General features: G+C 37.5%; 1 protein-coding gene across 12 annotated transcripts in view, besides 1 other annotated feature; it reads right to left on the reverse strand.

Annotated features, from left to right (window-relative positions):
* Nucleotides 1-19,820, reverse strand: part of LINGO2 (leucine rich repeat and Ig domain containing 2) — a 1,275,985-nt gene that overhangs the window by 877,980 nt on the left and 378,185 nt on the right. The window lies entirely within an intron of this gene.
* Nucleotides 5,114-5,685: an enhancer, noted in NCBI's record as "OCT4-NANOG hESC enhancer chr9:28820708-28821279 (GRCh37/hg19 assembly coordinates)". NCBI's record gives its function as "activates a minimal SCP1, AML or CMV promoter by ChIP-STARR-seq in primed H9 embryonic stem cells {active_cell/tissue: H9 hESC(primed)}" and the evidence as "EXISTENCE:reporter gene assay evidence [ECO:0000049][PMID:30033119]".

The raw sequence follows: 19,820 nt of genomic DNA on the forward strand, positions 1-19,820 counted from the left end.
TCTCAGAAAGATCTTTTACTATTTCTTCTTAAAATAACAATTACCACCAGCACTAGTACCAATACAACAAAAATCGAAACCAAGAGTACCGTGTAAAAAATACTTTCACATAGTTTATTTCATTTGGACTTCTCATTAATATTCCCAGCACTCTTCTATAAGACTTGTTTCTAAGTGATTAATCGCATGTTATTAAAATGCTTCTTACATGGGATTGCCTCTAGAAGAAGGCTGAGTGGATTAAATCCCCACCTTAGTCTTGCCAATTCTTTCTTAACAGGTATCTTAATCCATTTTGTGCTGCTAGAACGGAATACCACGGGCTGGGTGATTATAAACAATAGAAGTTTAATTAGCTCATGGTTTTGGAGGTTAGAAAGTCTAAGATCAAGGAGCCCCATCCAGTGGGAGCCTCCTTGCTACAGCATAACATGGTGGAAGGCATCATGTGGTGAAAGGGCACTCAAGAGACTGAGGAAAGGGATCTCAGCCTTTTATGAGGAATCCGCATCTACCATAACTAACCCACTCCCAAGATAACCATGTTAATCTATTCATAAGGGTGAAGCCCTCATGATCTAATCACCTTTTTAAAGTCCCACCTCTTAACACTGTGGCATTGGAGATTAAGTTACCAACACATGAACTTTGGGGGACACATTTAAACCACAGAAATAAGAAATCTTAAATGAAAAGATTGCTTTTCTCTGAGCAATTTTGCCAGGGGCAGCAGCCTGAATCAGCGAGAAAAATGCTTGGGCAAATTCATTTATCATCACTCACCTTTTTAAACTCAATAAAAGAGTAATTGCTATTTTTTATCAACCTCATTTTCTTTTTAAATCAGGAATCAAGATATTCTTTGCAATTTAGGCAAATTGTAGGTGGGAGACCCAGCTTACAATTGGACAGAAATTCCCATTTAGTATAATATTAAATAATACTCCTCATTCATAGTGGCTAATTTTACATCTGAACAACTATAATAACCATCTTTACAAAGGGTCTGTGTCTCTACTAATTTTATTCTTAAAAAATCCTCTCAGAATATTTTTGCCAAGTATCATAGGAGTTGCCTGGCAACTGCTAAGAACAAATGAAAAGAAAGAGAGGTGATTTAATAAGGAACTCAGACACAATCAAAACCTTGTAAAATGAACTAGATATCTGCTTTACTCAGAAAAAATAAATACTACCCCTTGATCTGATTTTAAATGCAAGATGTTAATAACTTATTGTAAATCAGTAATAGAATTAATAAAAGAGAGCAAGACATAGGAACTAACGAAGAGTACCCAATGAAGCATTTAAGAATTTTTTTTCCAATTCCCTAATGTAGTATGTTCAGCTAGTAGGTCCCACAGCTTATTAATTTACTATACTCACAGGCGACATTCTTTAGAAATCCATCTGTGGATGTAGTAAAGTAAATAAGGTAATCATATTTTACCTAGCATGGCAATATGGAAATTTTACAAGTTTGAGAATTTAACAGGTCCATAAGTTTTGCCAAAACACTGAAGAACCCATATGCATCAAAGAAATGGAAAGTTATCATCAGTAGGAGGTGCTCAGAAAAAAGAGAAAACTTTAATACGTAGTTCAGTCATTCCTGAGCTATGTAAGGATTTGACTTAAGATAAAAAAAAAAGGGGGATAGGTATACCCATTCTTTTGTATTAGCAAAGAATGATTTGGTTGCAAGTAACAGAAAGCTATCTTAACTAAGTTATGCAGAAATAAAAATAGATTGGTTGGATACTGAACCATTTCACATAATCTTGGCAGGTATAGAGATGTAACATGTCAGGAACAAAGACACAGATATTTGAATGCTTTCAGGACCTTTCCTTTCCATTCCTCATCTAAGCTTCTCTCTGCATGGTGGCTTCCTTCTGCTAGTACAGCTTTGTCCACATGGCAAAACGATGACCACTAGCTGAGCCCACGACCCACTTTTCAAAGTTTCAATAGCAGAGATCTGCTTCTCTTTTCTTCTCAAATACAGCTTGAAAAGTCTCAAGGAAGCACTCAGATTGGTCAGGCTTGGGTTAGGAGCCCATTATAGAATCATCAATGATGGCCAAGTAGTTGGCCCTATGACTGATTGCCCCCACTGAGATGGAACAATTGAAAAGGAGGAAGAGGAGTTCTCCAAGAGGAGGGCAATGTATTTTGGGGAAGATGAAAAAGCCTTATGCCAGACATAATGAGTAAGGAAATGAATACACTTTGACCTTTGGATTTCTGTTTTTTTGGTTTGCCATTTTATGTAACATACTCACAAGTTGACTGTTGATCTCTTTATCTAGATAACTAGTTATATTTCTCTTTTAACAGGTTTCACTTTTCTAGTCATTCTTCTCATATAAGGATCAGAAAACAACAGTAAAATGGAGAAAGAGGGTTAGGTGCCTATAGCCCAGTCTGAGACGAATGATACTTTAGATCACAGAAAAAATACTTTTTAGGAGTTAATCCTAATGTTTTTAAAATTTAATGATAGAACTCACACCTCTCTTCAGATCAGAACTAAGACCTGGTTAATGCAGCTATACCTTCTCATTCTGTCCATCATACATGCAGTTCATTAGTTGGGTCTGAGTCAGTGCTCAGAGTATTAGGTGCTAGTCTAAAAGCACAGGTGACCTGCTCTAAATCAGACATTTCTAAAGTACGGGTCCTAGACAGTAGCTGATGGCTCAAGAAAAATTCTTTCTTTGGAGAAAAGGGAATTTAATTAACCTACCATATTAACTTTTCCTTCTAGAGGCATCAACTCATTCTTTTTATTTGTTTGTTTTTGAGATGAAGTCTTGCTCTTGTCACCCAGGCTGGAGTGCAATGGTACAATCTAGGCTCACTGCAACCTCTACCTCCTGGGTTCAAGCAATTCTCCTGCCTCAGCTTCCCTGGCAGCTGGGAATTACAGATGCCCGCAACCACATTCAGCTAATTTTTGTATTTTTATTAGAGACAAGGTTTCACCATCTTGGCCAGGTTGGTCTCGAACTCCTGACCTCAGGTGATCCACCTGCCTCAGCCTCCCAAAGTGCTGGGATTACAGGCATGAGCCACTGTGCCTGGCCTCAACTCATTCTTTTATCATTTTACAGGAAGTTAACTGTTTCTCCTGGGAATCTGTAATTATCAGTTTTCAAGCTCAAACCTTAAGGAGATAAACTTTCTAATTTGCACTTTGAATGGCAGTGTAAAAAGATAGAGCTCTCACATTATTCACAGGGTGTAAACTATTAACAAACTAAAAAAAAAACTTTAAACCTGAAAAACACTCTTACTAATTCTGGAGTGTTTTGTTTGTTTTCTTCAAAACCAATCACATTAAATCTTTAACCATTCACAATAAGAAAGCTAAAACAGTTGCTAAGCACATAAATACATAGTTTTGTTGTTTTTTTTCTACCTGAGGAAGGTTTTCAGATGATAGATCCATCTTTAGACTGCTCTCATCATTCTTTGAGAAGCCCCAAATCCTTCAGCATGACTAATTAAAGGTCCTCAGCAGCCTGTTCTCAGTCTTATCCATCAGAGCTTCCCTTCCATAATCAGGCTATCATCACAGCACACTCACCACCATTGAAAGCAGGGGATATACTTGTCAACCTCCTCGCTCTTGCTCTTGTTGATCCTCTTCCTGTTATACCCTTTCATCCAATTCTTTTCAGTCTTGGAGTCTGGCTCAAATCTCACTATTTTTGTGAAGCTTTCTCTAATCTCCACCCATCATCCTTCTTCCCCTCCCCTCCCAAGTTGGCAGCTATATCTCTTCCTCTATGCATCCACAAGCATTTATAAAAAAAGTTTCATTGTATAACATCTGATATGGCATATTGGCATATTCTACCACTATTCCACATGCCAAATCTTAAATTGTGTTATATTTATTTGTATGAATTTCTTTTCCCTCCTAGTTGGTAGGAGTTTCCTTGAGATCATGTCTACTTATTCTGAATCCTGGAGTGTCTACCAGAGTTCACCACTCAAACAGCTATTATATTGTGGTGTTTTGTGTTTTTCACTAGACTGCAAGGGCCTAATGAGGAAGACATGTTCTCTAACTTTGTATCACTATTACCTAATCACAGGCCAAGCAGGTCCTGTGGCAGAGCACGTCATGAGAAACTACTTGCCTTGGTGCTGACCATTAAGTCAGTGTCCAAATTCACAGTTTCCTTGTGAGTTTATGAAGTTTCCATAGCAGCTTCCTGGGCTATAGAAACCACATATCCCATTTATTGTCTCTTCTACTCTTGGTAAACTCTCCTTTTATCAGTGAAGGGGAGGAGCATACATATATAACCTGCCCACCCACACCTACCACTCCTCCTCACCAAAATCCCCCACCCTCTGAATCAAATGGTCGTATTCTGCTTTGAATAAATTAATTCTAATTTCCTGGACATTTTTAGATTATTCATCTACAGGGATATGTACAGGGACCATGTTGATGTTAATTTATCACTCATTTTAACCAGGATGTCTAAGAACAGGTAAGACTAAATCTCATGAAACATTTAAAAACAGTGAAACCAGTAAGTAATATATTACCAAAATGAGTTTTTTCCTGAGCATTATATGGTACTGGAATGAGAGTTTCCTAAGGAAAGGGCACGTGCTGGAGAAAAGATGAAAAAAAAAAAAAATAGGCCTAGGAGCAAGACTATAGAAGACCACGTGTGTCACCCACTGAGCAAGCTATTAGAGACCCTTTAGAGAATTTTCAACAGAAAAAAGATGACAAAAATGGCCTTAGAAACCTTAGGCTAACGGAATACAACATTCTAAATCTCCACTAAAATGATGAAAAAGATGCAAGCAGTATAACAGCTTTAAAAAGCAACATGTCATGTAATCCCATACATTGACGTATGTCAAGCATCAGTCAAGGTCAGAAGGATAGGAAGCTGGTTTCAGTTCTACCTGGAATGAAGTTCATTATATATGTCCAGAGCACAAAGATTTTAAAATTGAGGGCAGGCCACTTTAAAAACAATTTGCAAAAAAACTGGCAAACATAATTCACAAATATAAACAGGAAAATATAATGGATCTCTCATTCTAAATTCAGTTTAAAGTAGCAGTCCTGGGGCCATTGTTAAGGCACAGAGTGGGCACAGAAAGTTAGAAGTCTACCCAGTTTTTACTCCCTTAGAAACAGTGGGGGTTTTGGCTAATAGAGCTGTGAATATTCAGTGAAGGCCAATAATCAATTTGCTTCGAAAATAGCAGCAGTCACAGTTCCCGCAGCTTTACAGGCTTGCCAGGAGGGGCACCCCATACCCACACACACACTTGGTAAAGGGTGGAGGAAACACCATCCTCATAAATGAGCCTTCAAGGCTTGCTTTTTGATGTTTCTGTCACAGGAAGGATTAACAATGCACAGCTTCCTTCACTGCTGCTTTCACAGCTAGAATTTTAACATGCCCAGCATCTCTAAGGAAGTTGTTAGTATCTAACTTAAATAGGAGCAGGAAATCCTTTACATCCATTGTTGGGAAAAATAAATAAGTTCCTAAAACATCATGCTGGCTACATAGCCCTTGCGAACAAAGTGAGCATCACACAGGGTGCACTGACTAGGGGCATATCTTGGAGGGTCCTCCGGTTATATTTAATTCTTGTTAGACTCTGATAGAATGTTGTTGCTTCTGTGAAAGCCTGCTGAAACTGTGCTGCTTTGTTTCCTGGGAGTTTCCAACAGAAGGAGTAGGAAATAAAGGACTAAACAAAAGCTGGGCTGAAAGATTATAAAAACAAATGAGCAAGGGAAGTAGCAATAATGTTCCTCCTGGTGGGATGCTCACCCCAACAAAGGCAAGTAATAGAGAAGGCCCTTAGGAATTTATTCATACAGATCACGGAAATTTGCAAAAATGAGCAAGTGATAACCTCAGCCTTGGAACTAGATGCCTCCAGCTGTAGCTGCAACAGTCCTACCTCAATGCTGCCATCAAAACAGAACGTTGTGAAAAAGTACTTGGGCAAAGCCTGGAGTTAGAGAACAATAGGCCTGGTGCTGGCTTCATAACAATAAATTACTAAACTGGGTATACTTGCTCTGGCAGCCCATACCACAGAGTAAAGAAACCATGTGTGGGATAAGGTGCTTGGGCAGCAAAAGATGGGAGGACGTTCCCATTCCTGTTCCACGATGCCCTCAGTGCTTCTTCTGGTTCCACATGAAGTATAGAGGATACGGGAAAGAGCAGTAGTTTAGAATTATCCAGGTGGTCAAAGGCCCGTCAAGGTAATAATCACTCCAGAGATGTGCATAGACTGTTGGAGAGTGGGAGACAATGCTGTGCCTCTCTAAGGGGTCTTCACTGACAGAAGGAGTCAAGGTGAACCTGGATACTGTCTCTTCTAAAATCAAACCTACCATCAACAGAGACCTGAAGCAGCAGACAAAACCAGCCTGGTCAGAGCAAGCCCAGAGATACTTCTAAATGACTCATAGGTGGCCGAACTCTTTATTTTCTTATCTCCCAAGGTCCTTATGCCCTCCAGTCCCATGGAAGCCAAGAAATCCCAGAAAAGGGGAAAAGAGAAGAATCTCACACCAAAGCATACTCAACCAAAGTTAACATTCCTCTAACTCTACCTACAGGTGATGAATGGAGGCCGAATAAAAAGCAAACTATACCCTCTGCATACTTCAAGTTTCTCAAGACATAAACCTGGCCTGCACTACGAGGAAGAGGACATGCTAAACTGATCACAATATGGAAGTTTTAACTGTCATAAATTTTTAATAACTTTAAGTAACCAGAAATGCAAGCAATGTATGATGGTCAATACAGAGTATCAGCTTGAATGGATTGAAGGATGCAAAGTATTGATCCTGGGGATGTCTGTGAGGGTGTTGCCAAAGGAGATTAACATTTGAGTCAATGGGCTGGGAAAGGCAGATCTGCCTTTAATCTGGGCGGACACCATCTAAGCAGCTGCCAGCATGGCTAGAATATAAAACAGGCAGAAAAATGTGAAAAGACTAGACTGGCCTAGCCTCCCAGCCTACATCTTTCTCCTGTGCTGGATGCTTCCTGCCCTCAAACGTCAGACTCCAAGTTCTTCAGTTTTGGGACTCCGACTGGCTCTTCTTCCTCCTCAGGTTGCAGACGGCCTTTCTTAGGACCTTGAGGTTATGTGAATGAATACTTAATAAACTCCCCTTTATATATTTATCTATCCTATTAGTTCTGTCCCTCCAGAGAACCCTGACTAATACATACTGAAAAAATTAAAATCCAGAGATGGCACTGGGTATAGAAAAGGAACAGGCTGAAACAGAACACAGTTCAAAGTGACAACTGAATAAAAAATATACTTTTTTATGTTAATACCCAGCAGCTTTTGGACTATTAAATAAACCTGTTACTATATTAACATGCTTAATTCTCATATCAATGAGTTGGAATTGTATTGTACTCACTTGATAGAAAAGTAAATTGGGACTGAGAGAGGTAAATTTCTCAGAGTTCAGTTATTAAGCCAGGATTTGAAATCAGGTCCATTTGGCTCTATAAAACATGCTTTCTTTCTCCCACTCACCTTATTTTTCAGGATTTCTTGATGATAGGACCTTCCTGGAGTGTGTCAAATGTTAGCAGTAGGGGGAATTATAAATAAAAGGATATATTATGGAAGCAACATTACAAACTATGACAGTGGGCCACTAAATGGACATCTAGGCAGATGGTTCCTAGAAATCCAGCAGCAGGAAGGAGGTCAATATATTAAAAGGTTTTATAGGTCAATATATCAAAAGGTTTTTCCGAAGATTACCATAACGTATCTCCAGATATGTAGCTCTTTTAGGACTTTGTAACTCCTCCTTCAAAAGGTAAAATCTATGGTACTATCTCTGAACCTGGGTTGGCCTTTGTGACTGCTTTGATCACAAGAGTATGGCAGAAGTGGCTCTGAGATTAGTCAAAAGAATGGATGCACTCTTGGAGCACTTGTTTTTGGAATCTATCCATCATGCTGTGAGAAAGCCTAAGATGCCTTGGAGAGGCCCATGTACAGAGGAACTGAAGCCCCAGCCCATACATAGCCCTGGATTAGCTCCTAGACAAAGGCGGCACTGAACTGTCAACCACCTGAATGACTTATCTTGAAAGTGGATTGTCAGTGTACAAGATGAAGCTTAAAATCTGTAGACACTGCTTTGTTGTTATTTTTTAAAAGGCCCTCTAGTATATGATAAGCTGTACAGTCTCATTGTTCTCAGGTGTGTATATTGACTGACTTAGGCTGAAATGTCAGGTATATATATTGACTTCAGTGTATAGCCCTTAGTTATTAAACTAAGAAATTAAAACCTCTGTATTTAACTGGTAATCAGGAAAAATATATACATACAAACTAAACCAAAGAAACAGAAAAAAAAAGTTGGTATCACATGGAACAGAGTAAAGCAATTCCTGAAAAGTTACACTAAAATTGTAAATTTATGCAAATAGTTAGTACTTGTTATTCGCTCATGCCTGTGAAGTTTGAAGGTGGTTTGTTTCACGGTAATAACTGACAAAAGTCATAGAAACTGGACAACAAGAACTGGACTCTAGTCTCTGGGAATATAGGGGGAGAACTTAAGGCAAAACTCTAGCTTGAAGGAAGTGGATTATAAACAGAACTTCAGGAGTGTGGAACAAGATAGAATATCTGTTTCTAGACCCTGAGTAAAAAGTAGGGCCTTAGTGCTAGGAACCAAGAGATAAGCCCAATTAGTAGGCACATGATTAGGGCAAATTTAACAAGTGTGACCTGATGCTCAAGAAGTTAATCAGCCTCAGATGCGGGACAAGGAAGAGCTATCCTGAGGGACTAGAAATTAGGCATGTCATTTTACTGAGTTTTGTACCAGAGCACATGCATCACTTCAAGACTCTAGTGTCAGAATGGCAAATCAGTTTCAAGTTTCAGAAAACTCTGATTTATTAGTAGTGGTTGCCTGGAGTAATATGCAGAAAAAGGCTACAAGGCAGCATCCAGACTCAGCAGGAAAGACTGATTAATGATGTCTTTCACCAGAGTAGAAAAAGCAACTTGACATGCATACCATGCCTTTCCTAGCCCTGTGTTAAATGTGACTAATTTCAATATTAGATATGTGGCTCTCATCACAAGACCCAGTATGAATGCAGCAGAAAATACCTTTAAAGCTTTGTGCAGTATCAGATGTTTACCATGAGTTGAAGAAAGGATCTAAAGTCACAAGACTGGTGTTAAATCAGTAGGCTGGACTAACTTGTAGTATGACCTTAAGCAAAAACTTGATCTCCTCTTCTTTTCTTTAGTTTTCAAAGAAAATAAAATCTTCTTAATGACGTTGTTATGAGGGTGAATGAGAGAACTCCTAAGAATATGGTTTGTTAACAGTGAAGGCTGCATGCATATTAATGGTTACTCAAACCATTATGAAGGCACAACTTTTCCCCATTTGGCCCAAAAGTGTAAGTCTTATTTGGTCCAACTCCTTCATTATCTATGCCTGATTCATTGCAAGCACTGTTATAAAGCACTCTCATTATAAAGCAAAAGTTTTTTCTTTTCTCGCCAATGCCTCCTAAGTTTATTTCCTACTATTATGACACTCTTCTCAAAATGGGTAGATTTTCTTGACTACAATGGATGTCTATAACTGAGTGAAGCTGCAGCTAGGAAGAAGAAAAGTCAGAACTAATAGTAGAGAAGAAATGAGTAGACAGGCCCAGAGAAAGTTAGAAACAGAGTGGTAATTGGAAGTCTGTGAGTCAGGAATTCAGGTAAGTTTGGCAAGCAGGAGTCGAATTGCAGAGAGGTAAACAGGAAAGAGAAACACAGTGTAAATATTAAGAAGCTTTCTACTAAACTCACACTGACGTCAAGAACTTCCATCTGCTTACCCAAAGGTTGCCATCCTGAGTTTCCTGATTTCTGTAAGATCAGCTCATTTGTATCTGGTTTTTTTTTTTTAATATTACATTTTTTCAAGAAAGGGTGATTTGCTGTTAAAAACTTTAAAAGCCACCATCCTACATTAACCCTCCTGCAGTAAAATAGGCCTACCTGCTATTTCCCAAATATTTGGTACACTTTCCCCTATCTACTTTACTTATAGCCTGCTTTCTATGCCAGCCTCAGACCCATTGTCTCAGAAGAGAAGTAAAACGTTGTAGCCACACACTAATTCATCCTACACTGTTCAGTTGATTGGGAAAAGGTCTTTCAGAAACTTCGAGCTGTTATCTTGGAGCCATCAAAGTTACCATAAATGACTATTTTTCTGAGCAGAATTTGAAACAGGTAACTGACTTCATGGCATGACCAGTCCATATGATAATACCATTTTCTATGATGATTCCTCTGGCTCTCAAGTCTTAATGTTATTTTGCATAATGCCAAGGCACAAAGCTACAGGGCTGAATGATAATTCAGTTACCTTAACAGAACAAACTTTGGGCAAGTCAAGATGATATCTAAAGTATTAATGGTAAAATGGGTATTGAACTGTAAGAACGACATACCAACCAATCAGAACCAACCCAGACTGTGAACGACATTCATGGCCAAACCAGTGTATATAATCTCTGCCCATTGTTAACTTAGGAATGATTTCTCTTCATCTCCTCCACTGTTATCAACATCACCATCATACTGGCTGTTACAGTAAGAAATTCTGTATAACAATCAAAAGACTTTTGAAAAATTAAATGAGTTATTATATCTCTTACTCTACACAGAAGAAAGATCTAATGAGAACTAAAAAGCCATATGATGAATCCTTTCCACAGTCACCGCCACTCTGCTTCAGTGGGCCAGATTTTTCCTGTACTTCTGCTGGGAGTTGGATATTGGGATCTGCAGAACTCAGGGAAGAGATATGCAAAAAGAGCATCACAGGCCTGCCAAAAGCCTCAGTCTTGTTAAATATGCTCCAGCACACACACACAAAATTGTTTAGGATTATTGCTGGCTGTGTCAGTGATAATAAAATTGGCTAGATGACCAATTTAATGCTGACAATAAACACTGACATCCATGTCTAGGTAGGTAGAGAAAATGTGGCAGGCTAAATGATAATCAGGAAGTCACTCTGAATAAGACAACAAAGTCTGTTAATTTAACTGATGTTCCCTTTTATTTTCTATTCATTAGGATACAATGGTTGAGAGTAAGACCCAGGACAGGGTCTAATGTAAAATCAACATAGCTGCACGATTGCAGTAAAGTAAAACAATGGGACAATCATGGGAGTCAACAAGGAGGGCAATGTAAGTTTGACTCCTGCAATAGAGTTTTCCTCCATTGAAAAATTTCTGAAACCCAGTTTCTGAGTGCCATGGATGCTATAGTTATTGGTCTGGAGAAATTCACTTAAAACCACGTCCCAGTGTCTATCCATGATTAAAATGGGAATAAACCATTGGTTTTGTGAATAGTCAATTATAGTTAATAGCCCATTAATACTTTTTAAAAACAACTCATTAAAACAGTAAGAATTAGAGGCACAGCATATAGTAATAATGCTGAAAGATATAAAATTAGCTACCTGAATCAAGTCCACAGAATCCTAGCATAAAAACAGACTTAAGAGTCATCTGTCCAGTTTCTCTGATAAAGCAGGCATCTCTTTCCAATATTCATGGTAACTAGTGATAGTGAGCTCATTGATTTTTGAGATGGCTCTAATTACTCTTCCTAATACTTAGCTTAAGTCATCCTCCTTGACTGCCAAACACAATTTGTAGTTGCACACAATAATTTAATTTACTCTTTGATGGGTTCATCTAGGTTCACAAATAAGTAATTATGAGTTATAAAACTTAAGCAAGTTATTTAATCGCTCTATGCCTCAGTTTCCACATCTTTAAAATGGGTATAATTGTATTTATTTCATAAAGTTGTAAGAAGAATTAAATAAGCAAATACATTTACAGTACTTAGAATAGTACTTGACAAATGATACATATTAGTACTTGACAATACATATTTGTTGAATGATTTAAGGACAATTTGACAATTACACAAACATGAGAGTGATAATACGTTGGGAAGCATATTTGGAATTCTAGATGATTTAATTAGGTTATTATAACAAAATGTACAAGATTAAAATTAGCAGTGACAAATTAAAAAGTTCTGCAGCAAAAGATATTTTATTGAAAACATTGCATTAATGAAAATTTAAAAATGTGGCTTAAAGATAATGGAAATGGCAAGACTTGAAAAGTTTTTTGACCATAACACTGATGTGAACCAAGAATGTGACTTTCCTACTTAAAAGTCAATGCAGAATGGTAGCAGAAGCAGTATTTGTAAGATAATATAGATTGTGTATAACAGTATACACAATCTATATTGGTATATATGTTATATGTAGACAATATCTTGAAAAATAACCAAAACATAATCATAATGGCTATCTTTGGGGAAGGGGCCGGAGACTTAAATGTTGCATTTTATAAACTCTTCCACTATGCAAAGCTATGAATATATTAAATATATATACATATATTTATGTAATAGTTAAACCTAAGAAAATGGAGTCTAAGTCTGCACTTATGAACATAAATGTTACATTCTTACACGTATGTTCTGAATCCAACTAGACCAGGTTGTCTTATCCTTTTTCATACCATTTGGCAATGTGGTTAAGTTTCCTTAGAATAATGGTTTTAAAAGCACAAAATAAAATACAGAGGATTACAAAGGGAATTATATTAAAAATCCATTTCAAAATATTTTAGATATTTTAATATATTCATATATGATCTAGCAATGATATAATACACCAAAAACTGGTTTAAAAATAGTGATGAGATTATAACAATTTCAAATATTTATAACAACTATAATGTGATATGAAAATGTTTTATTTCTATTAGTTACAGTCACAAATCCTCCTATGGATTGTTGCCTACATTTGTAGTTCAAGGAAGTGCTAAATTTGAGTTAGAGTTCAGCTTTTGATAGGTGGAGTGGTAGAGGCAACCTTTTTTTTTTTTCCTATCCACATTCCTACCAGACTCTGGGTTAATTAGACAAGAATTACTTGTGACTGACTAAGGTTATACAACTCTTAGCAGAATATTAGTGAATGAGAGGTAATCTAGAGGAAGACAGGCAGAAGTATGGGTCTGAAAATCATGCCAAATGCAGATGCTGAACCTTCAGAGGAAGGCAATTTGAAAACTGCCTTCAAGTACTAATACACAAGTTTTACTACGAGCCAGGTGGTGTTTTCAGCAGTTGTAATTTACTTGCATCACACAGTCTAGTGACAGGGACAGAAGGCAGGGAAATTCTGGGCAGAGGAGGATGGGTCCCCAGAGAAGGCCCCACCCTCAAGCCTGCAACTGTGGCCCAAAGTGAGAACATGCAATCCTGTTTTCCTTGCTCGAATGTTGCCTTTTCCAAAACCACCCATGGCCCGTCCCACTCCCCATCCTGCAGCCATAAAAACCCCCAGGACCAGACCAGCAGAGAGAAGAAGCTGTTGAACGTTGGGAGGAAAAGAAGCAGCTGATTGTCAGAGAGAAGCAGCTTGACTTCAGAGGGACAGCTTGATGGCAGAACTTCCTAGAAGAGTCCTACTAGAGATGGCTGGACTTCAGGGGAAGAATACCTTCCCACTCCATCCCCTTTCCAGGCCCCCTTCCCGCTGAGAGCCACTTACATTGGCAATAAAATCCTCCACATGTACTATCCTTCAATTTGTTCATGTGGCCTGATTTTTCCTGGACAACGGACAAGAACTTAGGATACAGAAGGTTGTCACACTGATCCTCTGCCCTCGCAAAAAGGCAGAGGGTCCACTGAGCTGCTAAAGACCTAAGCCATTCACAGATGGCAAAGCTAAAAAAGCACTACCTATAACATTCCTTTGGCTTCAGGGGATAACATGGGACGCACACAGAGTTTTGCTCCTGCCAGTGCACAGTGTTTGCTTTATCAAATAATGATTATTTGTACACTGTCTATTCCAGATAGATAAAATTGGCCAGGCGCAGTGGCTCACACCTTTAATCCCAGCACTTTGGGAGGCCGAGGTGGGCAGATTACCTGAGGTCAGGAATTCGAGACCAGCCTGACCAACATGGCAAAACTCCGTCTCTAATGAAGATACAAAAAAGCTAGCTGGGTGTGGTGGCAGACACCTGTAATCCCAGCTACTCAGGAGGCTGAGGCAGGAGAGTCGCTTGAATTCAGGAGGCAGAGGTTGCAGTGAGCCAAGATCATGCCACTGCACTCCAGCCTGGGCGAAAGAGAGAAACTCCATCTCAAAAAAGATAAAAGGAAAGAGGTATAAAAGTAGTTGTATACATACTTTAGACATATCAGTCATACTATAAATGCTGTCATCATAAGGAACATACATTCATAACCAAATTTACTGAAATACTATCTGACAACAAGACAGATTTCTGGACATCAGGACTAGTCTGTAAAATCCAAGATAAAAATCCCATTGCTATAATAACGATAAAAGCAGAGTGCTACAAACCCACAGATGAGGGAATGACAAATTTCGTCTGGAATAGATGAGAGAAGGGGACATTTTACTAGGCCTTGTGGGGTAAGTAACATTTAAACAAATGAGCATGGAGAAAAATGCTTGCTTCTTGGGCTGATGGAAAGACTGGGGAGGGAGTCATGAAAGTTCATTCCGGCAATGAGGACAGTCATATGGAACTACAGCCCTGGATGAGTGGGGTGGGGGCCAGGCAGGGGAGAATAACGCAGCATGCATTTGTCAAAATTGATTGTCCACAGATTGGGGATTGCTTGTAATCATCTGCTAAGAAGTGTGGGTTTTATCTTACAGCAAATAGGAGTCACTGAAGGCTTTGAAAACCAAAATGGAAATGAACAAGACTGTTCTGTGAAGAGAACTGTGGCCACTCAATAAAGTACAGGGTGGACAGATATGAAGATTAAAAGCAGGAAGATCTATAAGAAACTAATATGATAGTCCAGGTAAGAGAACCCAACTCCCTAAAAGGAGGGAATGAATGAAAGATATTTTAGTAGTAGCTCTTGTTGGATTTATAATGGATTTTTAATTTATAATTTGATATAATCCTAAAGCTTTACTTCTCCTGACGTCTCCCCAAAACTACTGATATACAGAAACCTTCTCTTGCCCCTATACACACACACACACACGTGTACATGCTCATACACACACACATGCATGTTCACTTGCATCGTGCACATGCACACACACGTGTGCATGGTATATACATGCACACATGCATGTTCACTTGCATGCGTGCGCACGCACGCACACACACAAACACACACACAGACACTCACACTAACGTAATACAGAGAACAAGGCCTAGCAGCCCTGGGCTAACATGAGAAGGGCTGTGGGCCTAGACTACAATGGAGCTTTTATCAGTAAAGGAAGTGGAGTTCCTTCTCCCTTAAGAAAAGGAAAATGGTGGATTTCTTTTGGTATGTAAGGGATTCTGCAAGCTACCCAAGTCAGAAGCCTCCTGTCACCTCATAAAAAAGAAAAGAGGCACTGAACTGACGATGCTTAGTGATTTAACACAAACATAGGAATATGTGTTTGATACATTCCCTTCCTTGTGTTAATTACCAATTTCCTACTGAATACATATGAAGTAAGTTTACAGGGAGTTTTAATTTTCCCAAGAAAAATTAAACGTACAAAGACTATTCTCATATAAGAAAATAGGGACTGTATAATAATCAAATTATCAGGAAAATTTTAACAGACAGAAGGAAGGCCATATGGTAGTAAACACACCCATGCAAGGACACAAGTTATTAAATGCTACAAACAACCTTGTATTGTCCCCATTTTCTATTTTATTTTAGAAGACACCGAGTAATTGAGGAGTGAGTGAGTCATGTTCTTGGTTAGTAGGTAGTATAGAGCAGATTTAAACCCAGGTCAGCCAGAAATGTTCATCAGGAGCCTAGACTTGATATTTAGAAGGAAGTGATAAATGTGGATTGGTGTAAACGTGTGGGAAATAATCAAAGATTAGTAAAAAGTAAAAAAAATAGCAGAATGAATAAAGCAGTAAAATGTGATAGGAACAGATGAATGGAAGAAAATGGATGACTCAATACAGAGAAAAAAGAAAGCTACAATTTCAGTAATATAAAATTTTAGTCATGGCTATCTTTCCCCAAGTAATTCTTCATTACAGTGGCTGGACACATTCCTAAGAAAACTTTTGTTTGTTTTGTTTTGTTTTCTGTATAAACAAATAGTGAAAGTAACCTCCAGCCTTAATGTAAACTTAATTTTATATTTATTATTTGACTCTTCTATTCTACATAAATTGGTAAAGAATGATTAAACAAATTTTGTGGCATTAGATTTGAACAGATCATATAAAGGAGAAGGGAGGTCTTTTACGACATATTTTTCCCAATTTGGCTTATTCCATGTATATGCATTTTATTTTATTTTTCTCAAGTTTAATTTCAAAATTATTTGACTTGCTCACCTTAACAGAAAACCTTTTAGTGAATTTAAATTTGATTTTTAGCAAATTATTTTCAATTTAGTGGTAAATTAATATCAATAAAGAAAAGCAGTTGGAGTTGGCAAGATGTTAAAAGGAAACCCATTCTTATTACCATTTCCTTTCATATTTATCTGACTTAATGAAAATGAATGCACTGTTTCTTACAGTTAATACTTCACTGCTGATGACAGTTTTATTTTCCTAAACATGCTTTTACAATTTGTTACAAATACCTCATACCACGTGTGCAACTTATGTTTCTTATTAAAACTTAAAGACAAATGATGTTATATGGGACTAACACCAGTGATTCAACTCAGTTCCGTAACTCTGGAGCTGATAGAGTATACAATAATTTCTGAAGCATACAGTTTGTCTTCTCTGTTCTCCAGAACCACAGAACTTCTCTGATCTGTTCTAGTGGGGTGACTTGGGATAACATAAAGACTTCCCAGGAATTTTCCAGTGGCTCATGTCCTGCAAAATTCCTGGGAAGTGTTTATATCATCATACGGCTCATATTACTCAACATAAAAGAGTAGTTTTAGCCACATCCACATAATTATTAAAAAGGAAAACAAAATACCAGTTTCCATATAAGAATACTGATCCAGCCATGTCTTTCAAACATTTCTCTACATTGTTCCTTCCTTGTCTACTCAGAGAACTCTACATAGTCAAAAGGCACTTCCTGAGTCAACCTTTTGCTATATCCTATGCACAAAGGAATTATATTTCCCTAAGCATTTGATTCATGTTTTGTATAGTGTACCTGTTACATTTTATTCTAATTATATATTTACAGGGCTGTCTAGTCCATCTCTGATATTAGTGGCTGACGTAGTACATTTTTTGATGTAAAAAAAAAAATGAACCAGTAACGGATGGACTGGTCTTTAAGTGTGAACAGTTTTTTCACATTGGAAGCATAGAATCTTATAGTTTTATATTTATAACTAAAGTTTTGAGGAACCAGACCTCATCCTCCAAAGCACAGATGTGATGCTTCACTCTGGACTGTGACAGCAGGCCTGTACTGCCTAATTTTGCAAGCTAAAGCAGGCACATGACTTAGGGTGGCCTTCAATACAGTGAACCCCTTGACTTTTGCCATATATATACCCCTCTTTTGTAGTACATGGGTTCTTAATCGTAGAATGTGGAACTAATCATGATTCTCCAAGTTCTCTATAGTACCTTTTAGAAGATATCCTTCATGATCTACTGTACAATTCCATATTCACTTGGACAGTCTATAGAAAATCATTCACATTGACCATTGGCTCTGATTTTAGTTTGCTACCCATTCAAGGCTAAGTTGTTAACCTTGCTAGTCATCTTTAGCACTTAAAAAATTTAATGATATGTAATGGAACCTAAGTCTGAGAGAGAAGAAAACTGACATGTCAAACTAGTATTTCTATCAAAATATTGTTGAATTCTCCATTATCAAAGAAAAGGATTTATATCCTTTGCCACATTCAATGGTACAAGTAGAAGTGTGTAGCTTCATAAAATATATGGGAGAGGGAACATTCACAGCCTGTGTTATTTTTTCGCAGTTTTCTAGAGTTTGTAGGATTATTAAAATGTAGACCTCTGGAGATGAACGAATAAAATCAAGGCTTAGCAACAGCATATAAAAAGAATAGAAAGAAAGCACGTTTCTATTTAAGACAAGGGTACTGATAAGAAGGATATTGGTAGGTACAGGGAATCAGCATCTTCAAACATTTCTTCCATCTTTCCAATCCCAGCCCAAGGTCTGCCTGATCCAATTTTCACTGGCTCTCCTTCTTTATATCGCACTCATAGATTGCATGTCATAATTTATGGTTCATTTTACACTTTTTTAGCCTGCACAATTTGAAGCTCCTGGATGTAGAAACTGTTTCTTGTTTCTTTTTTTTTTTTTCTTGTTCCTTTTGGATCTCCTAATGTGCCTACTCTACTTAGTGCATGGTAGATGACTAATTAATTGATTAGGTAGATTTAGAGAAAACATTTCAGCACTAACAAGTTTGATCTCTTATCAGAGAGAGGTTTAAATTCAGAAAGTAATTGGCAAAATGCTTGGAATCAGAGACTACACTATGTAGCTGTTTTGGAGCCACTCTCAACAAAGAGAAACTGAACCCAGGCCTCTTTCAAAAATCATCATATTACATTTGTAATACTTAAGACATTTAAGTGCATACATTTTGTGAAAATTTAGAGACTCTGTTACTATGGTAATTCTTAATGTGAATTTCCACATAGAGATGCCAGGAAGATTTCAATGTTGCTATGTATCTATTTTAGAATAATATACAGAACTCCTTATTTGAAAATTCTATTGTATTTCCAAATCCATGTGTGTTAAACTGACTTCGTGTTTGTAAATCAAATCCTAATAAAAATAATTTTAAGCATTTTGAAGAGTAAGGTATCCATCAACAATTATAATTAATAACACCTGGAAGTAATGAAGCTACTTAGTCTGAGCAGACAAAAATGCTTTCAAAATTTATATAATTTTATGATTTTGGTATTCTCCTGCCTTCCACACTGACCTTATTCTTCCTACTCTGTACACTAACTGGTCTTGAAGATTTTAATTTTTTAATGTAGTGAACTTTCCCAATCTGCCATTGAGCTGACAGAATACTCAAGAACACTGAATTTTACATTTATTTAATTTTTTGGTAATTTGAAGAATTTTGTTCCAACATAGTAGGTGAATCACTTGACTTCAGTTGTCTCATATTGGAACTAATTAGAATAAAAGAGGAAAAAAACCATGTCTCGCCTTGTTTACTATTTTATATCCAGTACTTCATACAATCCCTAGTAAATATATACTCAATAAATGTCTTTTTAAATGAATGAATAAATGAACAAGGTAAGGCATAGCCAAACAGGTAGAATTTTGCAGTAAAGGTTAAGAAAGCAAAGCAAGAGTAGTTCTGGGGCTTAGACCTGCTCTCCATGAGGAAGGAGGTGCTGAGAATAGGCAGCAGACAACACTGGCCAGGTGAGAGTTGGCATCTCTGAAGTCATGAACTCAAAAAGGCATTAAATATTTGCACAGAGAACCAGATTTAGGAAACAAAAGATTCTTGATATATATAATATCTGACCCAAAGCAAGAGGAATTTACAGGAATCACTTAACATCTGGTATGGGGACTTTTCTGAAAAGTTTCTCTGGAGCAAAGGATATTAAGTAGAAATTAATAACATGTGCTATTCAAAATGGTAACGTATTGTCTTTCCTGATATAACATGCTTATTTCTTAATTTTGTCAAATATAGAAAT

This window comes from Homo sapiens, chromosome 9, assembly GCF_000001405.40.
Source record: "Homo sapiens chromosome 9, GRCh38.p14 Primary Assembly".
Classification (NCBI taxonomy): Eukaryota; Metazoa; Chordata; class Mammalia; order Primates; family Hominidae; genus Homo; species Homo sapiens.